The sequence below is a fragment of the Homo sapiens genome, chromosome 8 (assembly GCF_000001405.40).
Source record: "Homo sapiens chromosome 8, GRCh38.p14 Primary Assembly".
Taxonomy (NCBI): domain Eukaryota; kingdom Metazoa; phylum Chordata; class Mammalia; order Primates; family Hominidae; genus Homo; species Homo sapiens.
The window spans coordinates 32,942,434-32,967,068 of NC_000008.11; the positions used below are offsets into that span (position 1 = coordinate 32,942,434).

Below are 24,635 nucleotides of genomic sequence, written 5' to 3' on the forward strand. Positions count from 1 at the left end.
ATCCTTATATCTCTGGCAAAAATCCCACTTAATCATGGTGTATTAGCTGTTTGATGTGCTGTTGGATTTGTTTTGCTAGTATTTTGTTGAGGATTTTTACATGTATGTTCATCAAACATATCGATTTCAGTTTTATTATTGTTGCATCCTTGTCTTGTTTTAATATCAAGGTAATGCTGGCCTCATAGAATTAATTAGAGAGAATTTTCTGTGCTTCAATTTTTTGAAATAGTTTGAAGAGAATTGGTATTAGTTTTTTGTAAATTTGGTAGAATTCTGCAGTGGAGCCATCTGCTCCTGACTTTTCTTTGTTGGCAGAGACTTTATTACTGAGTCAATTTCATCATTAGTCTGTTCAGGTTTACTGTTTCTTCTCGATTCAATCTTGGTAGGTGTATATATCCAGAAATTTGTTTATTTCTTCTGGGTTTTCAAGCTTGTTAGTGAATAGTTGTTCATAATATACTCTCATCTTTTATATTTCTGTGGTATCACTTATATGTCTTGGTTTTTATTTCTGATTTTATTTGGATTTTCTTTTTTCTTGGTTGGTGTAGCTAGTGCTTTATCAATTTTTGCTTTTTTCCCAAAAAGCCAGCTCTTTGTTTCATTGGCTCCTTGTATTTTTTTTAGTCTCTATTTTGTGTAGTTCTGCTCTGATCTTTATTCTTTTCTTCTATTAACTTTCGATTTTGTTTGATTTTGCATTTTTTTTGTAATTTTTTGAGACTTGTTTTGTGTCCCAGCATATGGTCTATCCTGGAGAATGTCCCATTTGCTGGTCAGAAGAATTTGTATTCTATAGCTATTATACAAAATGTTCTATAAATATCTGTTAGCTCTATTTGGCCTACAGTGCAATTTAAATCCTATGCTTTTTTGTTAATTTGCTGTCTATATTATCTTTCTAATGCTGAGAGTGGAGTATTGAAGTCCCCAATTATTATTGTATTGGAGATTATATTTCCCTTTAGATCTAGTGAAATTTGCTTTATATATCTGGGTCCTCCAGTACTGAGTGCATATATGTTTAGAATTGTTATGTCCTCTTGCTGAATTGATCCCTTTATTACATAACAACCTTCTTTGCCTCTCTTTACTGTTTTTGACTTAAAGTCTGTTTTAATTGACATAAGTACAGCTATTCCTGCTTGTTTTTGGTTTCTGATTGCATGGAATATCTGAATATCATTTTCCATACCTTTACTTTCAGCCTATACATCTTTAAAGGTGAGATGAGTATCTTGTTGGCGCACCTAATTGGGTCATTTTTTAAAATCTATTCAGCCAGTCTGTATCTTTTAAGATAAAAGTTTAATCTATTTACACTCAAAGTTGTTATTGATATTGGAGGCTTGGTTATTCATGTCATTTTATTTACTGATTTCTTGTTGGCTTGTATTTTCTTTGTTCCTTTCTCGCTGTTTATCATTGTGCTTTGGTGGTTTTCTGTAGGGGTAACATTTGAGTTCTTTCTCTTCCTCATTTGTATGTTAACTCTATGAGTGGGTTTTATACTTTCATGTGTTTTCATGATGGCAGATAACGTATTTTTGCTTCCCTTAATCAATTTTTGTAGGGCTGGTCTAGTGATGATTAATTTCCTTAGCTTTTGTTTATCTGGAAAAGTCTTTATTTCTCCTTTATTGGTGAATGATAACTTCGTTGGGTATATACTTTTTTTCTTTGAGCACTTTGAATAAACCACTCCATTCTCTCCTGGCCTGTAAAGTTTCTGCTGAGAAATCCACTGTTAGTCTGATGGGGGTTTTCTTATAAGTGACTGAAGACTTTTCTCTTGCTGTTTTGAGAATTCTGTCTTTGACTTTTGACAACTTGACTATAATGTGCCATGGAGAAAACCTTTTGCATTTGTCTGTTTGGAAATCTCTGAGCTTCCTATATCTGGCTATCTAAATCCTTGGTAGACTTGGGAATTTTTCAGCTATTATTTCATTAAATATGTTTTCTATCCCTTTTGTTTTCTCTTTGCCTTTTGGGACACAGAAAATTTGAATATTTGGTCATGTTATGTGTTCCATCTGTCATGTAGGCTTTGTTTATTCTTTTATAAAATTTTTTATTTGACTGAATGATTTTGAAAGACCTGTCTTCAGGTTTTGAATTCTTTCTTCTGCTTGACTTAGTCTGTTGTTGAAACTCTCAAGTATATTTGTCATTGATTGAATGAATTCTTTAGTTCCAGAGTTTCTGTTTGGTTGTTTTTAATGATACCTATCTCTTTGGTAAATTTCTCATTCATATCCTGAATTGTTTTTCTGATTTCTTTATATTTTTCTTCTCTTGTATGTCACCTTCTTTAATATCATTATTTTGAATTCTTTTCCCAGGATTTCATAAATTTCTTAATGGATTCTATTGGTGGAGAATTATTGTGTTCCTTTGGTGGTGTCATATTTTCTTTTTTATATCTCCTTTGTCCTTACATTGATATCTGTGCTTCTGATGTGACAGTCACTTCTTTCAATTTTTTCAATTTGCTCTTGTAGGGGAGGACTTTTTCCTGAAAATGTATCCATGGTGTTGGCTGGGAGGGTACTTTGCCTTTGATTCTGAATGCATGCGGTGATGTGTGCATATCATTTCATTAGCTATAAACAATATCAGTAGCATCGGTGATTTCCTCAGTGGCTTAGGGTGCCATGTCAGTAGAGGTTGTGGTAAGTTATGCTTGGAATGGAGATATCAGGTGGGCCCCAGTGGTGTCAGTGGTAGGCTGACTATGCTTGTTCCTGTAACCCAGGGTGGTATACACTAGCACCAGTGTCAGTGGGTTCAGGCAGACCAATTCTTGGGCCTCTGGCTGGCTGGCTTGGGTGCCAGCAGTGGCATTAGTGGGCTGGGTGAGCGAGTGGGTCTTTGGGCTCCTGTGCAGTGTGGCATGGACAATGGTATTAGCAGTGTCAGGACAATCCCCTGGCTTCCAAGTAGTCTGCACTGGTGTCAGTAGTGACTGTGACAGACTTGGTGGGCCAGTCCCCAGGCCTGCAGGTGGGTGTCAGCTATGGTTGTAGCAGCAGGTTGGATGGGCTTATCCTCAGGCTTCCAGAAGGAATGCTCAGATGCCAGTATTGGTGGATGAGTCAGGGTAATCTCCAGGCCCCCAGATGGGGTTGGAGATGCTTGGTTGGGCACTAGGGGGAGCACTTGGTCAGGCACTAGTGGGAGTGGAGTTGGTCCAGGTGGGACTGTCCTCAGGCGCCTCGCTAATGTGTGCAGGTGCTGGCTGTAGTAGGCATGGATGGGGTGATCCCAGGCCCCTGGCAGAATGCTCAAGTGCAAGAGGAAATGGCTGTGCAGCATCCCCACTGCTGGGGAAGGTGGGCTTATTTTAAGTGGCAGTAGCCATAAATGGAAGTCTGGGAAGCAAACACTTTGGCCCCAGGTGTTGGCCTTATAAATGGGGTACCCTTTCCTTAGGACACATTTAAATGTACTGTGGTGCTGCTACTGGAGGTGAAAGGATTACTGCCAATAGTTAGGCTTTGGCCCTGGCAGCAGCAGTCAGCAGTGGTATACAACTGTGGGCAGGGGATGTCAGTGGGGTTCCAGATATATCAATGTTGGGCCCCAGGGCAGAATCCAGTTTGGTGAGGGATGCGCTCTCAAAATGGTGCCCTGCTGTAGCTGCTTAGGACTTGGAGGATATGTGGGACCCAGTGTGAGCTCCCTCTCTGGAGCAATCTGTTATGTAGTCTCCAGGCAGATCCTTATGTTAGTCTAAGGGCCTGTGAGGGTTGAGGGGCTCTCCTCTATGGCTAGGATTAAAGGAGTCCATGATGGGAATGTGTACCACTGGGGGTTATTCACCTACCCTTCTCCCTCATGGGGAAGCCTCTCCTGGCTCCAAGCCAATCCTGATGGAGCAGGCTGCCTCACTTTTTTCTCCTTCCTTGCTTTGGGTATTTTCTGTCACTTCTCTATTGAATTCCAGCATCCTCTCTTAGGTGATCTATTAAAGTATGATTATCTACTTGCTGTTTTGTTTCTTCTTTGTGGAGGAGGCAAGTAACAGATGACTAGTCAGCCATTGAAGCCCCTGGCATCACATTTTTTTCATCTACTAATCTATTAATGGACATTTGGGCTGCTTTAACCTCCAGGCTATTGAGAATAATGCTGCAATGAACATGGAAGTGCAACTACCTCTTCAAAATCCTCCTTTCAGTTTTCTTGGATATATACCCAGAAGTGGGATTGCTGGATCATATGGTAATTCTCTTTTTTAACGTGTTGACAAATTTCTTTGCTGTTTTCTCTAGCAGCTACACCATTTTACTATTTCCACCAATAATGCCTAAGTGTTCCAGCTTCTCCATGTCCTCAGTGACACTAGTTCTTTCCTCGGTGTGTGTGTTTTTTACAACGGCCATCCTAATGGCTGTGATGTGTTACTGAGATTTTCATTTCTTTTATGACTAGTGATATTGAGCATCTTTACATGTTTTTTGGTCATTTGTATATCTTCTTTAGAGAACGGTCTATTCAAATCCTTTGCCCATTTTTAAATCAGATTATTTGTTGATGTTTTTGAGTTGTAGGAATTCTTTATGCATATTGGATATTACTCCCTACATGGTTTGCAACTATTTCTTCTAATTTCTTCCAATTAAATAGGTTATCTTTTTCACTCTGTTGAGTGTTTTCTTTGCTGCACAGAAGTGTTTAAGTTTGATGTAGTCCCATTTGTCTATTATTGCATTTGTTGCCTGTGCTTTTGTGATCATATCCAAGAAATTACTGCCAAATCTAATATTATAAGATTTTCCCTGGAGTTTTCTCCTATAAAAACCTATAATTTCAAGTTTTCTATTTAGATCTTTAACCCATTTTGAGTTAATTTTTATATATGGTGTAAGGTAAGAGTCTAATTTTATTCTTTGCCTATGAATGTAAAATTTTCCAAATACCATTTGTTGAAGAGACTACTCTTTCCTTACTATGTAGCCATGGTGCCTTTGTTGAAGATCATGTAACCGTATACATTAGAGACTATTTCTGGGCTGTCTATTCTGTTCCATTAGTCTATTTGTATGTCTTTGTGTCAGTATCATACTCTTTTGATTAATGTAGCTTTGTAATATGTTTCGAAATCAGAAAGTGTGAGTTCTCTAGCTTTGCTGTTTCTCAATTTTGTTTTGGCCACTTAGGGTCCTTTGAGATTCCATATAAATTTTAGAATGTTTTCTATTTTTGAAAGAAAAACTAATGATATTTTGATAAGGATTGCATTTAATCTACAAATTACTTTGGGTGGTATGGATATATCAACAATATTGTCTTCCAATCCATGAACGTGTGATACCTTTCAATTTATTTGCATCTTTAAACATTTCTTTTATCTATGTTTTATAGTTTTCAGTATACAAGTCTTTTACCTCCTTGGCTAAGCATATTCCTAAGTATTTTATTCTTTTCAATGCTATAGGAAATGAGATTGTTTTCTTACTTTCCTTGTTGGATTATTCATGGTTAGCACATAGAAATGCAAATAATTTTTGTGTCTTGATTTTTTTTTTGCAAATTTGTGGAATTTATTAAGTCCAACAGGCTTGTTTTTCGTGGAATTTTTAGGGTTGTCCACATAAGATCATGTCATCTGTAGAATAGAGATAATTTATCTTTCCTTTCAAATTTGTGACTTTTATTTCTTTTTCTGCTTAATTGCTCTGGCTGAGACTTGTAGTATTGTTGAATACAAGTGGCAAGAGGGGGCATCTTTTCTTTATTCCTCTTATTAGATGAAAACATTCAGTTTTTCAATGTTGAGTATATTAGCTTTGGACTTTTTGTATATATAGCCTTGATTATGTTAAGGTAATTTTTATTCACACTTTGTTGGGTGTTTTTATTAGGAAAGGGTATTGTATTTTGTCAAATACTTTTTCTACATCAATTGAGATAATCATGTGGTTTTGCTTTTTATTTAATGTATTTGGTTAATGTTGTGTATTGCATTGATTTTTTTTCATTTACTGAGCCATCCTTGCATTCTAAGAATAAATCCAACCTAGTCATGGTGCATAATCCCTTTATGCGCCTTTATGCACTGAACTGGCAAATTCAGTTTGCCAATATTTTGTTGAGGATTTTTGCATCAATATTCATCAGGGATGTTGGTCTGTTGTTTCCTGTCTCAAAGTATCTTTGTCTGATTTTAATATCAGGGTAATACTGGTACCATATAGTGAATTTGGAAGTGTTCCTTCCTCTTAATTTTTGGAAAAGTTTGAGAAGGATTGGGATTAATTTTTCTTTAAATTTTTGATAGAATTTTCCAGCGAAGCCAGCTGGTCCTGATCTTTTCTTTGTTGGGAGATTTTTGATTACTGATTTATTCTCCTTGCTAGATGTAGGTATGCTGACATCTTAAAATTTACTCATGATTCAGTCCTGGTAGGTTGTATGTTTCTAGGACATTTGCTATATCCCATAAAGTTTTGGTTTGTTGTGTTTTCACTTTTCTCGAGATATTTTCCAATTTCCTTTGTGATTTCTTCTTTTACCCATCGGTTGCTCAAGAGTATATTGCTTAATTTCCACATGTAAGTGAATTTTCCAGTTTGATTTGTTTAATTGATTTCCAGTTTTATTCCGTTTTATTCAGAAAAGATATTGGTATGACTCCAGTCATTTTAAATTTGTTAAGAATTGTTTTGTGGCCTAACATGTGATCTATCTTGATGAATATTTCATGTGTGCTTGAGGAGAATGTGTATTTTGCTGTTCTTGAGTGGAATGTTATGTGTCTATCTGTTGGGTTCAATTAGTCTATAGTGATGTCTAAGTCATGTTTCTATATTGATTTTATCTGATATAAGTATGGCCACCTCTGCTTTTTTTGGTCACCATTTACATAGATTATCTTATTCCATCCTTTCATCTTCAGCCTATGTGTGTCTTTAGATTTGAAGTGACTCACCTACAGGCAACTACTTTGATCCTTTTTTTAATCCATGTAGCTACTCTGTGTCTGTTTATTGAGTTTAATCCATTTACATGTAAAGTAATTACTGATAGGGAAGGACTTACTGCCATTTGGTTAATTGTTTTCTCTATATGTCTTAATTTTGTCTCTCTTTTCCTCCCTTGCTTCCTTCCTTTGTGTTTTATTGTTTTGTAGTGGCATGCTTTATTTCTCATTTTCTTTTGTATATCTTCTATAGGTGTTTTATTTTTGGTCATCATTGAGATTTTTTAAAACTCTTAATTGCAACAATTTATTTTAAATGGATAACAACTTCAGTTAAATACAGAAACTCTGCTCCTTATATCCCCTACACCACTTTAACTTATTGATGTCACAAATTACATGTTTTTGTATTTTGCATTATTAATATATTTTATAATTATATTTATGCTTTTACATTTTAAATTCTATACCAGAATTAAAACTGTTTACATACCACCATTACAGAATTACAGGATTCTATTTGTCTGTATATTTACCCATATCAAAGACTTTTATATTTTTTATGTGCTTTCATGTTGCTGTCTGGAGTTATTTCATTTAAACCTAAAGCGTTCCTTTAGCATTTATTTTAAGACAGGTCTTTCCAGTGAGAAACTCCCTTAGTTTTGTTTACCTGGAAAGGTCTTGGTTTTTTCTTCATTTTTAAAGGTAAGTTTTGCTGGATATAGCATAGATAGACATAGAAAGATAGACAATATCCTTGGTTAGCAGGTTTTTTTTTTTTTTTAAGCTCTTCAAATAAATCATCCCACTCCTTTCTGTCTGGTAATGTTTCTGCTGAGAAACCCACTGGTAATATTATTTAAGCTCCCTAGTATGTCATGAGTTATTTGTTTCTTGGTGGTTTCAAAATTCTCTCCTTGCCTTTGACTTTTGACAATTAGATTACAATATGTTTCCGTGTGGGTTGCTTTAAATTCATCTTAGAGTGCTTTGAGTTTTTCACATTTGAATGCCCGTTTAGTCCAATTGGTCTGAGGAGTATATTGGTCCATTCTTGCATTGCTGTAAAGAAATACCTGAGATTGGGTAATTCATGAAGAAATGAGGTTTAATTGGTTCATGGTTCCTCAGGCTATACAGAAAGCATGATGCTGGCATCTGCTTGTCCTCTGGAAAGGCCTCAAGAAACTTACAATCATGGCAGCAGGCCAAGGAGGAGCAGGCATGTCACATGGCTGGAGCAAGAGCAAGAGAGTGAACAGGAAGGTGCCACACGCTTTTAAATGACCAGATCTCACAAGAACTCACACTGTCACAAGGACAGTACCGGGGGGGATGGTGCTAAACCATTCATGAGAAATCCAACATCATGATCCAATCACATCCCGCTAGGCCCCACTTCCAACACTGGGGATTATTCCTCAACATGAGATTTGGTGGGGACACAGATCCAAACTATATCAGGGAGAAATCAATGATTTCTTCAAAATAAACTCTGTATCCCTTTTTCTCTCTCTTCTCCTTTTTGGATTCTCATATGTAAATATTGTTCCACTTGGTAATGTACCATAAGTTCCTTAGGCTTTCTTCATTTTTCTTTTTGTTCCTCTGGCTCAGTCATATCAAATGACCTGTCTTGAATTTGGTCATACTGCAGGTTCTCTGGTGCTACAACAAGCCACTGAGTTGTTCTTTGTTCAGAGTGCTCCTAGATGTCAAAGTTCTGCCAGTTCCCCAACACAGCTTCAAGTAAGGCAAGCTATAAATCTATCTTTTGTCAGCCTGTGCCCAAACTAGAATGTTAGACGTATTTTCCACACTTCTCTTTCTCTCGCAAGGGAGAAGCTGCGAGTTGGGCATTTCCTCTCAATTGCACCAAGCTGTGCTGGCTTGAGGAAAGAACTTTAGTGGGTGAAATGCAATTGTTTTTCTTGTTTCAGTGCAACTGTTTATAGTTTTGTGCTTGTCTATGGTACTGTGATGTCTTAACTGGTTTCTGAATTCCTCATAAAAGCTTTTTGAATTGTATATTGCTGTTAAGTCACTGTCTACAGCAGAAGGAGGTCTGGGGCTTTCTATTCTGCCATCTTTGCTGATACAACTCTCCCAGGAGCTGTTTATGTAAACAGTGAATAATTCTGTGCCTCAGATGGCATGGCCTTGTTCCTGAACCCCAGGAGACTGTATTGCGACTCAACTATTAATGCTTGGGAGAAATTCTAAAGTTTAATCTACTGTGCTAACTTCTGGCAACATTAGATATGCCAAGTCATATGCCCCTAGTGGCAGGACCGATTGCTTCAGAGCTAGAACATGTTGCAGAGGTCTCCCTTGTTCTGGTCACCACTCAAAATTGGCACTCTTTCATATTACCCACTAAATGACTTAAGCAATATTCCCCAGCATGGCATATGCTCTCTCCAAAATGTAAAGAGGTTTGCCAAGTACTTTCTTAGTAGTAAGAGGTACAGGGTGCAATAACTTGTCATTTACCTTGGAGGGAATATCCCAAAATGCCCTAGACTGTTGGTTTCCTCCTGATAATTTGGAAGGTGCTTGAATTGTACAGATAATATTTCTGATCCTTTGTCATGCATGTATCTTACTAGGCCATCCAGAGTACTTATCACTTCCTATTTACTAGATTTAGTTTATATGATGTCATTACTATCATAACATTATTACCATTTAGCTTACATGATGTCATTACTTTCATGAGGAGATCACCATGATGTTCTGCAAAATGTCAAGATTCTCAAGGTACCTTGCTGAGAAAGGAAAGCTAACAAAAGCCTAGGACAAGTCGATATATAAGGTTTGCAGTTCATTCTAAGTGAATGAAGACAGCTTTTGATGCTCCTTCTTGATGGGCATTGAAAGAAGGCATGTACGATATCAAGAGCTGTATGCCAAATTCCAGAGGATGTTTTGATCTTCCTAGTAAATCTTCTACTTCCAGCACATTGACTATGCTTGTGGCTACCAGTTGATTAAGTTAATGTAGTCCAACATCATCTTCCATGACTTTCACCATCTAATTTTCACCAGATTGGTGAATTAAGTAGGGACGTGATGAAGACTACCTCTTCTGCTTTCCTTAAGTCTTTGAGGGTGACGCTAGTCTTTGCCATTTTATCTAGCATGCAGTATTGTTCCTGATTTGCTATCTTGGTGGGGTTGTGAGGGAATTTTAGTATCTTACACTTGGTCTTTACTATCCTTTTATAATGGGTCTTTTCCAAAGTTTAGGAAATGTTTGTAATTGTATCCATCCTGATTATGCCTCAAGGAACTGAGGAGAAACCACAGGGTGGGTTGGTGGACCCACTATTACTGTGAGATGGACTTCAAACCACTCCACTGTCATCTTTTCATGACACTGTATCAGAGGGGTCATTACGGCATTTTGTGTTCCCTGAAATCAGTTTTAACTCAGACCCATTATCTAGCAGCTCTCGAAAAAGATAGCCTCCTTTCCTTATCATAGAGTTTCTTTGGGAAATGGGTGTAGATTCTTTTAGGGAATATACTTGTATTGCAGGGACTTTCCTCAAAGAGACCTAGATTTCCATGTAGTAAATAGGCTCTACATCTGAGAACTACTGCACATATGGCAACTGGGAAAAAGATTGTGACTTACAATTGTAGTGCCTAAGATCAAGCTTCTCACTTATTGTTGATATTTTCTGTTTTATAAATCAAGCAATACTTTCATTGGTTGTTCATTTATCTTACCCCAAAGAAAATTATGATCTATGGGCTTTGCCATAGACCTCTGTGAGCCAAGACCCCTGTTGCTCTCCATCATGTAAGAATATCTATCTCGCCTAAGTAGTTAAGTACTGCCACATGGTCTCTGAAATTCCAGAATCTTATATTCCTACCTCCGTTAGGGATTCCAGATCCACTGCAGTACCTCCTGTCATTAAGCCTGGGTACAGAGGAGAGCCGCTCCTGTGCTTCTCAGTGGTGATGACGCTACTCTCACTGGCAAATTTCTTATTACTTTAATAAAAAGAATTGGAAATATAACATGGCAGATTTTCTGAAAAAGAGAGATCTTAACCAATCCATTCTGCTACATTCACCTCTCAGAACTATATGACTCCTTCTCTAATACTCTGCCAAGTTTCCACCTCATTTTCTGTAGGCCTTCATTGTTTCCAGGCTTCAAAGAGCCATTCTCACAACACATGAGGATGGACTCCAGGCATTCTTGCCAAAATGTTAAATCATGATTCAAGAAAGAGGATCCCATATCAGTAAACTCTCCTCTATCCAGCCTTATATTTCATCCTTTCTGGTCTACTACCCTCAAGCTCCAGTCCAAAACATGTTCTTCTAGTTCCTGCTAGAACATCGTACCAGCCAAGTCCTGACGCTTGGTGAATAATCTCTTTATTCTTGTAGCAAGAAGAATAAATTATTACTTTGAGGCATACTGTCTTTATATATGACTCTCTAAACAATGAAGGAAGGCAGAATAGATGTTGAGGAGATAAGCATCATTTTGTGAGATACTTATGAAACCTCTGAATAATGCATGACAAATTACCCCCGAAACCTAGTATCTTAAAGTAATAAACATTTATGATCTCACACAATTCTGAAGATTAGGACTCTAGAGCAGCTTAGCTTGAAGATTCTAGCTCAGGATTTCCCATGTTGCTGCAGTCAGGATATTGGCTGGGGCTGTATTATCTGAAGCCTTATCTGAGAATCTGGAGGAGCCAGTTCCAAGGTGGTCACTCACATGGATGTTCACTGGAAATCTCAGTTCCTCACCATTAAGATACCTCCATAAGGCTGCCTGAGTGCCATCGCAATGTGGCAGATAACTTCCCCAGTGTGTGTAATAGAAAAGAGAAAGGAGGAACAATGCACAATGCCTTTTATTTCCATTGATTAATTGATTTGAATGATTGACAGGGTCCCACTTTGTCACCCAGGCTGGAGTGCAGTGGCACAATCATAGCACATTGTAACCTCAAACTCTTGAGCTTAAGCAATCCTCCTGCCTCAGCCTCCTGAGTAGCTGGGACTACAGGCACACACTACCATGCCTAGTCTTAGAAACCACATACTGTCACTTCTGCAATATTCTATTGTTAGACATGAGTCACTAAATCCAGCCCTCATTGAAGGGGCAGGGCTTTAAGCTCTACTTTTTGAAGAGAGGAGTATAAAATAATTTATGGGCTTATTTTAAAACTACCACATAAGATTTGATTGTATCTTATACATGCTTGTGCAACCATCATATGTAGCATTTTGCTAGTACATAAAAAATGTTCAACTACTCTTTGCTAAATAAATTAATGAAGAAATGAATGAGTTAGCGGATGGACATTACAAATAGGAAAATACCTAAAGAGCTCTAAAACTCATGACTAGAATTCTTTGGCTCATAATGTTTACTAAAATATTGTTAGTACCTGTAGTTGAAATATGTAATTTGCCTGTGTTACTTGAACTATAACTGAAAGAGATCTCTTTTATTGCAAAGAGAGAATTCTTTCCCATGCTACTAGTGTTTAACTTGTGAATTGTCCTGGGATTCTCTGTAAAGCAAAAACCATTAGATAGGTCATGAAACATGCAGCCTCCATCACAGCAATGATCTGAGCTGCATGTGTACTGTAAATATATTTCTAATACTTTTTCCAGTGGCTTCTATAGCAATGCTCTGCAGTGTGACATTGGTGGGCAATCTAGCTTTCATTTCAAGTTTGCCTACTGTCCAGGTGTCCACTGAACATAAGCCAGTCCCAACTACTAAAAAACAAACAAACAAAAAACACCTAACAACAACAACAAAAAAACTAATCCACCCTGTTCCTAAAAACCACCACATCATGTTGCTAAAGAGTATCTTTTAGCCAATAAAAACTTCCTTATATACTTCTATGTGACTTTTAAAATGTAATTGCTTTTATTTAAATTCAAATGGCATAAAAGGTCCTGCATTAGTTAATTTTGTTTGTTTATAGATATTTTGTTTCTAGGAGTTTCACCAAACGTTTGGGCTGCAGCCAGCCAAGAGCTATACTTGGGCTGCCTCCCAGTTCTGAATACTGTGGACCCAAGCCCAAATTTCAAGGTCAAGGGACTAGAGACCACTGGGCTGTTTGGAACTATTAGAATTGAGACAGAAAGGGCCCCAGTGACCTCAGCAGTGAAGAGAAAAACCTGAAAGTCCATTGATTTGTAGCACCTCATCTCTCCCCACTTGGAGCACTAGATTTAGGATGCAAGAAAATTCACTGTATGAAAAGTTGATGTTTTTAAACCTCTGGTTAAAAATGAAGGACATAAAGCCTGGAAGTCAGGGGAACATGACAATTAAATAATCTAGAGTAACTAATTGAGAACTTGGCCAAAGAGCTATGGATTCATGGAGAATGGTAGATAATCATGAACTTAACGTATTCTGTAAATGACCTTAGATCTAATGCCAGTCCCATGACTCTACAAGAACCATATCATCTTGTATTTCATTAGTGTTTGTCAGAGCTATAATACCCCTTGAGTTACTGAGCCACTTTCTTTCATTTGACCCAAGAATATTAGGTTAATGACCAAAATATTACCAATATTTCTGAAAGACAAGAGAGGACTATCCCTCAATTATAAGAAGGGTGAGAGAAACATTCAGATAGATTAAAAATGACTGTACAGAAGGCCCAGATTTGGGTAATGACAAAGCCAGGAGTAAATTGTGAGTTTCCTGCCCTCCAAACACACACTCTCCATTCAAGTACATTTTGGCCTGTGCTTTTGGTGATTTTCTCTGTGGTCTTAAGTGGATTTTTACAAGATCTGTGGAGTTTCTGCATGCTGTTACATATGTTTTAGTAATGCTGATGTTAAGTTTTGCATGTGTTTTATTTTATTCCCCTAGTAGTCTTAAAAATAGGACAAGAATTATTTAAAAGGGGAAAGAGATTATTATTTCAGTTTAAGAGTCCCAATAGGATGGGGAAAACTTGGAAAGTGTAAAGAGTTCTATATTCCTATATAAGTGTGACTCGAAAGCCACCCTTGGTTTTACACCATCTCTACCTATAATTTTACTTTTCCCCAGCATTTTTTTCAGACCTGCACAGCAGCTAATCCTCATAAAGGAAAAGCCACACATGAAATTTAAACTCCAGCACTTTGGTTAAAATTCCTGTAGGACAATATCTTCTCCCTCTGCCTGACCATATTAAATTGACTGCATGGAAGAAAGTCAAACTTCTCCCTCCAATATTCACCTTTGGATAGACTCCAAGCATTAACTAAGAAATGTATAGAAGTTTAGGTGTGATCAGATGTAGATTATCTAAACAATGCTTTTGTGGTCTTCAGAAGTAACAATTCATGGAGGGAAACATTGAGAACCTTAATAGCACACATTGAATTGAGCTACTTATCTAATTTTAATAAATGGCAAGATATGTAAGATGTAGACATCTGTGCTTGTAAGGAATTCCAGAGAAACCTTACAGAGGGTCAAATTTTATGTTTTATTTTATCCAAACAAGGTCAGATATTAGAAGGCTTCTCAGAGACGTTTTCTTCCCCAAATCCATTGTTTAGTAGGTATTGGAAGAAAAAGCCTTATGAATGAAAGACTTCAAAAGCCTTTGTTTTTGGTCTGAGTCATGAAACCCTAAATTGTTGAAGTCTAAAAAGCATAAAGACCAGTAGATTTCACATTTTCTTCGTTAGAGCCCTGGGATATCTCAGAGGCCATATTGGAGAACAAAGACCATGGTATGAAGCTCCCAGTCAATGGGAATAAGTTCTCCCTTTTTCAGTCTTCTCTGAGAATCTGCATAAATTTTGTTTGAAGAAAGAATTCTGCTGCTAAGAAAAAGTCTAAAAACTACTGATATATAATAGATTTCCTCATTTTTTATGTAGAAATAATTGAGACCAAGAGGGGATAGTGACTTTTTATTATTATTTTGCTGCTCAATGTGGTATTGTACATAAGTCTATAGCCTCAATGACCCACCAGCAGTAGCATTTATACTGCACAAACTTGGGATGTAAGAAAAGTTATTGTCCAACTTCATACACCATTTCATCCTTTCTAATGTTCAATTTCAATTTCCCCTTATGGTTATTCAAGCAGAAGCTGCTAGTTGTCTACCCAATATCAAGTATCCCCCTTTTCCTTAATAACAGAACCCTAATTTTATTCCAGAACATATGCCTAGCTAAAACACTACATTTCACAGCCTCCTTTGCAGCTAGGTGTGACTATAGTACTAAATTCTGGCCAATGTGATGAAAGCAAAATTATTGTGTGAAACAGCTAAGGAGGCTCTTTAAAAAGAGCTAACTCGGTTTAGAGGTGGGTTTTTTTTTTTTCCTTTTCTCCTCTCCTTTTGGAGGTCTGGAATGTACATTCCATAGCTGAAGCCTACAGTGACAGAGCAGAGAGACAAAAGGTGCTTCCATTTCAGATGAGGCTTTTGGGGGGCTTTCATACAAGACTTGTGCTTATTTAGGAGAGTAATTATTTGTGTGTTTAAGCCACTTAAGATCTCCACGCATATGTTATACCTTATCTGTGCTTTCCAGAAAACAACTGGTCTTTCTCTTAATACCCATTATAAATAAAAATGAATCAAACCTCTTTTTCCTTCCCTCAGAGTCTCAGACCTTTCAAAATAAGTTAATAATATTTTTCGTAATGACTGACAACGTTTCCTTTTCCACAGAACATTTGTCAAGAACATTGAACATGTTTTCCTTATAACCAGTCCATTTAGTAGTGTTCAGAATTTCCAACAGAATGTAAGCTAACTGGAAAGACATCTGACATTTTATTTTATTTTTATAATTTCAACTTTTATTTTAGATTCAGGGGGTACATGTGCAACTTTGTTACATGGGTATATCGCATGATGCTGAGGTCTAGAGTATGACTGATCTTGTCACCCAGGTAGTCAGTATAGTACTCAACGGTTAGTTTTTCAACCCTCGCCCCACCCCCATCCTTTTCCCTCTAGTAGTCCCCAGTGTCTGTTGTTACCATCTTTTTGTCCATGTGTATGTACCCAATGTTTAGCTCCCACTTATAGGTGAGGACATGCTGTATTTGGTTTTCTGTTCCTGCATCAGTTCGTTTAGAATAATGGCCTTCAGGTGTATACATGTTGCTGCAAGGGACATGATTTCATTCTTTTTAATGGGTACATGGTATTCCATGATGTATATATACCATATTTGCTTTATCCAATCCACTGTTGATGGATACTTGGGTTGATTCCATGTCTTTGCTATTGTGAATAGTGCTGTGATGAACACGTAAGTGCATGTGTCTTTTTGGTAGAACAATTTGTTTTCTTCTGGATATATATCCAATAATGGGACTGCTGGGTAAAATGGTAGTTTTGTTTTAAGTTCTTTGAGAAATCCCCAGACTGCTTTTCACAGTCGCTGAACTAATTTACATTCCCAGCAGCAGTGTATGAGTGTTCCCTTTTCTCTGCAACATCACCAGCATCTATTGTTTTCTGACTTTTTATGTTAATAATAGTGATTCTGACTGGTGTGAATTAGTATCTTATTGTGGTTTTGATTTGCATTTCTGATGATTATTGATGTCAAGCATTTCTGCATGAGTTTGGCCATTTGTGTGGAGAGATTTTTTGTTTGTTTGTTTGTTTGTTTGTTTTTGAGACAGTTTTACTCTTGTCGCCCAGGCTGGACTGCAATGGCAGTATTTCAACTCACTGCAACCTCCACTTCCCAGTTTCAAGCAATCCTCCTGCCTCAGCCTCCCCAGTAGCTAGGATTACAGGTGCCCACCACCACACCCAGCTAATTTTTGTATTTTTGGTAGAGACGGGGTTTCACCACATTGGCCAGGCTGGTCGTGAACTGCTGACCTCAGGTGATCCACCCGCCTCGGCCTCCCAAAGTGCGGGGATTTCAGGTATAAGCCACCACACCCAGCCGAGAGATTTTTTTTTAAGTGGGTGAACATTTCTTTTCCCTTGGATTTCCCCTTGCAAGCAACTATCTACTGAAAGATCTTGGTTTTAAAGTACAGGTTCCAGGAAAACCCAAGTGCTTCCCTTTGAAATTGATAGAGACTTTGAAATTCTACCAAGTATTTAGGGTGTTTATTAAGTGATTTCGTATTTTTAACTACTATCTATATTTTGAGAAAAAACTTAAGACTTGTGTTTTCAAAACTTGAAATATATACACAGAAACTCTTGTAGATATTGGATTTGTCAATAACTATAACATGCAGTGAGGACACTTCTGACTTTAGAATCATTGGGACGTAGAATTTTAGAACTAGATACATGCTGGAGACCACATGGTGCAACTCCTTTGTGCACAGTGGGTAGCACAGAACTAGAACATCAGGCTTCTGCAGACTTCATTGTTCTTTTCTTCAGCACAGAGCTTCTGCTTTTAGTATAAGAAAGATGTGGCCAGGCGCAATGGCTCATGCCTATAATCCCAGCACTTTGGGAGGCCGAGGCAGGTGGATCATGACGTCAGCAGATCAAGACCATCCTGGCTAACATGGTGAAACCCCATCTCTACTAAAAATACAAAAAATTAGCCGGGTATGGTGGCATGTGCCTGTAGTCCCAGCTACTTGGGAGGCTGAGGCAGGAGAATCGCTTGAACCTAGGAGGCGGAGGTTGCAGTGAGCCGAGAGTGCGCCACTGCACTCCAGCCTGGGTGATAGAGGGAGACTGCATCTCAAAAAAAAAAAAAAAAAAAGTCTGTTCAGCATGTACCAATAGAAAATATAGGAAAAGGAAAAACAGGTTGGACTCTAGATCTCTATTTGGCTTTCTGTCCTTTATGAATCTTCCTATATAAAGGACCTTTATTGCCTCACTTCATTCTGGGTGCATATTTATTCACTGTAAGAAGGAAGTGAAGGCAAGATCTCAGCTATTTGCATTTAGTCCTTTCTGAGTTTAATCTCTCTGAGCCTATCATTTGCTGAAAGAAAGTAGCTGACTTAGCTGGGTGCAGTGGCTCACATCTGTAATCTCAGCACTTTGGGAGGCAGAAGAGGGCAGATCACTTGATCCCAGGAGTTCGAGACCCACCTGGGCATCATGGCAAGACTTGGTCTCTACAAAAAAAGGAAAAATAAGAAGCTGGGCATGGTGGTGTACACCTGTAGTCTACTTGGTAGGCTGAGGTGGGAGGATCACCTGAGCCCAGGGAGGTTGAGGCTGCAGTGAGCTGTGATTGCAACAGCGTGAGACCCTGTCTAAGAAAAAAATAAAATAAAAAGAAAGTAGCTGAACTTTTTAAGTCACAGGAATGACTTCCAAGCACCATTCTGAAGATCACATTTTCTGGTCATTAGTTTGTGTCTAAACACCCCAGACAGGGTAAGTTTTTCTACAGCTGTGCCTAGAGAACATGATATAGATATAGATGAAGAGAGAGAGGGAGATACAGCTATGAAAATGTTTATCTTCTCTTTTATATTCTAAGCGCTTTCAGAAAACTCATGAAAAAATTTTGTATCCTTCTTATAGAGCACAGTGCCTGGTACCTACTTATAGCATGTTTTTATCATGAGAACTGTGATTGTGAATCCCTAGGTTTGTTTTTATACTCACTTCATCAGTTTTGTACTAGAGATGAGTTTTTGGTTGATGTTGTTTGCAAAAATTTACCTGAGGAAACAAAAAAACCCCACAATCCATTCATCCAAAAACCAACGATTATTCTTACTGTGTTCCAGGTTGAAAAGATGAAGACTCTGCCCTTCAGTGTTCTTACAGGCTAATAAAAAAATGTGCAGTATTTTCTACACATACAAAATTATAGAGATTCTAAGAATAGCCTTCATAGTCAGTAAGCTATTTCATGAGGGGAAGAGTAAGAAAACCAACTTGCACAGAGCAGAGGGCTCATATTAGAGCCACAGTGAAACACACGTGGAATAAACAAAAGGGATCCATTCGAGGAAGGGCCGTAACTGTCTGCATGAGAAGTTTAACCTGTCCTGCTCAGCCATAGGGAGCCATGGGAGATTTTTAAACATGGAAGTGACAAAAGTAACTAGCAATGGTGTACTGGAAGGATACGCAGGAGGAAGTTGCTATAGGCAGAGAGGCTAGTTGATAATTTCTGTCATCAAAACCTGTAGTGAATTCAGAGACAACAAAATACAATTTCATTTATTCAGAAAATATGTAGTACGCACCTTATTTGGGTCAGACTCTGTTTTAAGAATTGAGAAAGCCTCTGTGTTCCTGCCTTCCAGAATACACATAGCAGTGGAAAGCACTGGTTATGTGTGTATGAGAAGGGGGCCAATATTTAATGTAAGAAATGGAAGAGAAAAATGGGAAACAAATGAGTATAAAAGACATAATAGTATGCTTAAAACACTCAAAATCAGATATATATTAACATCATAATGAGATAGCCTTAGACTGGGAAAAATTGTAAGTGGTTGACAATAGCAGGTGTTAGCAAGAATGTAAAACAATAGGGACCCTAATAATTGCCCATCTGAGTGTATATTAGTTTAACTGCTTTCAAGAATAATCTGACAAAAACAAAGCTGAAAGAATATATTCTTTAACCAAAATTAAAGCTACCTACATATTTATCAACAGGAAAATACAGAAAAAAAACTAATTAGCAATGCAAATGAATGGACTGGAGCTATATTTATTAATGTGGATGAATCTTTCAAATATAATGTTGAGTAAAATCAAACTATAGAAAAATATGTGTAAAATATCTTTTATACAAAATATGCAATCATTCAAGTCAATGTTGTATATTAATTTTAGAAAGAAATGCTTGAGAATAAAAAGCATGTGATTTAGCATAGGGATTGATTACTTCCGGGAGCCTAGGGGAATGAGATTGGGGATGGTATAGAGAGGCTTCAAGTTTATAGGTCATTTTTAAATTTCCTGTGCTATGTAGTGTATCATGGGCATTCACCATATTCTTTATATCTTTTTGTACATCTTAAATAATTTTTAAAAACCTAACCCATTATATGCACATCATGGACCCATGACAATAGTCTAATGTTGAGAAGTTGGCTGGTAGCACACTGTTTTTCAGGAAATTTCTCCCCTGCACAACAAACTTCCTTATTATTTAAAGAAAGTGGCTTTCTACTGGACACTGAAATTTCCAGGGAAGAATTAAAGCTACCAAGAACTACCACCATGGAATATAATGACGCTTTTTAATTTAAGATTATATTGGGGAAGTGTCTTAGAAATGGTCTACTTCTTGATCACATCCATATAGTCAAGAATACCTAGGCAAGATACTGACTTTGATAATGCCAGCTGATGTTCTGTCTGTGAACTGGTGAAGATACTGCTAAATCTATTTAAGGACTTAACATAGGTCCAATTTTCTACTTCCTGACAAAATAATGGTGATGAATGGGATGAGACTTCCCTAGGGTTCTTCAGAGTCTCTAGGGATAGGACTTTTACTATCAAGAAATGCTCTCCCTCGACCCACTTGGATACAAAATCCAGCCCTGGATTTTATATTAGGTGTCTCCTGGCTGCCTGTTTCAGCTGGCAGTCTCCCCCTTCTAAACAACATGGCCCTGTTGTCTTCCGGGTGGTGTTTCTTTCCAAGACCAGACTTTCTCATTAGTTTGTGAAATAGCCTACTGGACTAACAGAATTCTCAGCTGAAATTCCCAGCCCTAGAGAGTCATGCTGAGGATGCTGTGAAGCCAATCTGGGCTGCTTTCTCATGGGTACAGCCACAGAAGAGTCAAGAGCTTAACATTTGGAATCTGACCTGCATTTAGATGCATCTAGTGGACCAATGGCTACTTGATTGGTGGAGGGTTTATTGAGATGCTGTTTTTTAATTATAAATCATTGAAATCCACCCCAGAATTATTACTGAAAACAGGAGCCTGGAGTTCTAATAAAATTGGAATTTCTATGTTTTTCTGTGAGGGAAGCAAGGCAAGGATTTTAGAGTCATTCCATACACACTAAATAAATCATGTTCCCTCGCTCTGGGGCAGAGGGACCCAGCACTTCCTGTGCTAGGCCCAGCTGATCGACCTCTATAAAATCTTAGCAGGCACTTAGGTCCCAGCAGGAGCTCTGCTGGGATGAAATCATGTAGTGCCTGAGGACAGCATCCGTCCCCCCATCCCCATGGCAACCGTCAATCTCACAGGAACAGAAGACATGCCTTAGGTTTGAGATTTCTCTCAGAATGCCCTCTGGGCTGGAAATGTCTTATTAAATTTCAAAGATTCAAGTACTGAGACCCAAGGGAGATGGTTTGCTCTTTTCTTGTACTGGGGTAGGGAAGTGAGCCACTTTCTCTTTATTGGGAAACCTTGCCTGATGGGTAGAAGTTGTAGGTGGGCATATTTTGCTCAAAACAGACTTCTCCATATAAAAAGCTCTGCTCAGTAAAGGAGTGACCTATCTTGGAAATTCAAGCATCCTCTGACATTATAATATTAAAGCAGAGGACAGGTGTCTGTTAGTCGAAGATGACAAAAAAATTGAGTGAGGTTCCCAACAATGGTAAGATTATGTCTGGATTCCCCCACAAAGACTGGGTTGAATCTAGTGGGGTCCATGACTTATGTTAGTGTCCACTCACGTTGACCAATCTCCAGAAGGAAAATGCTGGATATATGGGAAAGTTAAGGATTTAAAGAGACCATACATGATGAATTTTAAAAACAGGAGACATGGGAGAAGGACTACGTGTGGACTCTGGTTTTGTCTTTGCCACTAGATGGCTGAGTAACCTTGGACCAGTTATTTAAATGCCCAAGCCTAGGGTTGCTCATTATGTAAAATGAAGAGACTAAGCCAGATGTTTTCAAACACCCTTTTCTACTCTCAGAATCTCAAACTCAGATCCTTGACAAATGAACAGAGGGAGGGAAATGAGCTATAGAGCCATGTCATGAATGGAAATTCAGCATTACTAGTTAGTGAAGATAGGCCTCAACCAAAAGGTATTTGATAGATGTAAACATTAATCAAAGTGATGGATTTCTTCTAAAAAAAAAGAGGAATATGGTGACCACTCTAAAACTTTGACTTTTTTAATTTGGATTTTTCCAAACTAAAAAAAAAAAAAAAAAAAAATTAAAAGTAGCATGCCAAGCAGTTCTGTCTTATCACTCTCTTCCTTTGTGTTCTTGACAGCAACCTAATAATTTCTGGAGAGACATGAGATATAGGTAGATAAGTGAATAACTGTTGCTTAATGAAAATCTTCCCCATCTTTGTTTTAAACTATATAACAGATTAGGGGTCCTGAGAACAAGTCATCCTCCTGTTAATTCTGATATCCCATTCTCATGTCTTAACAGTCCATTTTATAACACAAGAGCAGAGAATTGCTGATTCCAGGTAGATAGGGTCAGGATACCTGGTGTGGGATGTAGGTGATCAAATCCTCTTTCAGGGAAAGTGCCTTTCGTAATTTTCTCCAAAGAGCAAAGGACTGCCTTTGAGTTCCTAGTCCATAGTTCTAGCAGGGTCATGTTTAGTAAGTGTAACAACCTCATGAAAAAGCTGTACAGTCTTAAAATAATGTTTTTTGGCAATATCATAATTTTCTATGTCCCCAAATCCCAGGAGTCCTCTAGGTTCAGAAATGTTCACATTCTGGTTATGTGAGATAAGTATGAAATTAACTTCATTTCATATTATAAAAACCTATGATAAAGCATATTTGACCAATACAAGCTTTATGTTTCTAGTACCTTCATTACATTTTGACTTTATTGAACTTAATACCATATGTGATATCTGGAATGGGAAATTGAGCTGACTCAGTACTGCCATTTATATTTTATAATTAGGAATGGCGTGTAATATATGGACATTTGTGCCTTCTTTTTTTTTTTAAGAGCCTATTTTTGAGCCAAACAAAACCCTCAATTAGTACAGATTTGAGTTAAGTCAGCAGCTTGTAGTTAAGGAGGGAGAACTCCCTGTCAAATGCCATTTCTTAATTTAACAAACATGAAATGTTTCTCCCTGTAGTGGTGATCTCTGGGATTTCCTGGTACTTACATTTCACCTCAAAGAATTCCCACGTCTTCTATAAAAATCGGTATTACCTTTAATATTTCCAATATGATCAGTCTTCTCTCTGCAAATAGATTTAGAAATCTAAGTTTCTTCCAATAGATTTATCTTTGTCATGAGAAAAGGCTTGTAAATCACTAAGCAACAAACAAATATTATTTGTCATTTGTAATAATCTTATTACAACAAATGTCATAGGAAAACTCTACAAAAAATTATTTAATCCAGAAGCAAGTTTGCTACCGTAAGTATTTTTCCTTGTAAACCTACAGAGCTTCACTCTGTAGGTTATCTTTAGGATGCCTTTTGTTTTTCCTCTCTTCCATTTTCTAATGTTTTCTTGTGAGTAGTTGTGAAGACATTTTTACTTGCATCTTTGCTTCCTTTATAGACTCTCTTCATCTTAGGAAATGTGGGAAATTCCATTTGCTGAAGATTGGTCTCCAGCAAGGAGAATACAGAGAGAATGCTTTTCACATTTCTAGAGGGATTAGAGTGGGTTATTCTTTAACACTGAAAGAATCCTTTTATAGGTCATCAGAAAAACAAAACAAGCAAGCACTAAAATATAATGCCCTGGAGCCAATGTAGGTTCCACAGACTTAGAAAGTTAATTTTTTTTTTTTAATAAGCCCCAGTTTCTCTAATCTGCTCACTTACCCTCCAAGTATCCCTTGGGTTTCTCAATCTATAAGCACCTGGTGCCTTCATGCTGTCTCTTTTAAGCCTCAATAAAAAAACTAAAATTATATTTTGGGTTCATCCTGGGATAGAAATGATAATTACATAAAGCATTTACTGGCAGAACGCTGCTATGGTTTGAAAGTTTGCGTCCCTCCAAAATTCATGTTGAAGCTTAATCTCCAATACAATAGTATTAAGAGGTAGGGCCTTTAGGAGGTCATTGGGTCTTGAGGGCTCCTCCTTTGTGAATGGCATTAAGGCCCTTATAAAAGAGGCTTCACACAGTGCTGGGCCCTTTTTCATCTTCCGCCCTTCTGCCGAGTGAGGACACTGTGTTTGTCCTCTCAGGAGGATGCGACAAGGCGCCATCTTGAAGCAGAGAGCAGCTCTCACCAGACACTGAACCGGCCAGCACCTTGAACTTGGACTTCCCAGCTTCTACAACTGTGTGAAATAGACTTCTAAAGTTTTTAACTTGCCCAGTCTGTGGTATTCTGTTATAGCAGTGCAAATGAACTAAGATAAAGGTCATTTGTATTTAATAGGGAAAAAAGTTTAGGGTTGAAGGAATAAGTTTTTGTGAGAATGTTGAGTGGAGCCATGGGTGGGGGTGATTTGTCAGAGATTTGAGCCTTCTCATTTCGCTCTCTGCTGCCATCAAAGCTACCTATGCTTGAGGCTAGCCCAAGGCTGGACCTCTTTTCACCACAGAGACAAGATTCATGATCTGACCACTTATTTACTATAACACACAGATTTCATCAAGGTAGGAAGAAGTGAGAAGTTGAGAAAAAGAGGCTTTGAGCAGACAGGGAGAGTACCTGTTGGTTTAGCAAGATTCAAAACACTTTCCAGAGAAGACCTCAAAGATCCACAGTTTCGACTGTGAGTCCTCATGCTATGGAGTGTCTCTGACTTCCTTTAATGTGATCCTGTCATGGTCTATAAAATCT

General features: G+C 37.8%; 1 long non-coding RNA gene across 9 annotated transcripts in view; it reads left to right on the top strand.

The window, feature by feature from the left end:
* The window catches only part of LOC105379362 (uncharacterized), a 122,073-nt gene that overhangs the window by 14,457 nt on the left and 82,981 nt on the right, over positions 1 to 24,635 (top strand). Inside the window, exon 2 of one of the 9 annotated variants that reach the window (NR_188155.1) lies at positions 8,595 to 8,686. The exons of the other annotated variants lie outside the window; for them this stretch is intronic. This is a non-coding gene — a long non-coding RNA (uncharacterized LOC105379362). The remainder of the gene's footprint in view (positions 1 to 8,594; positions 8,687 to 24,635) is intronic. 9 annotated transcript variants of the gene reach the window in all.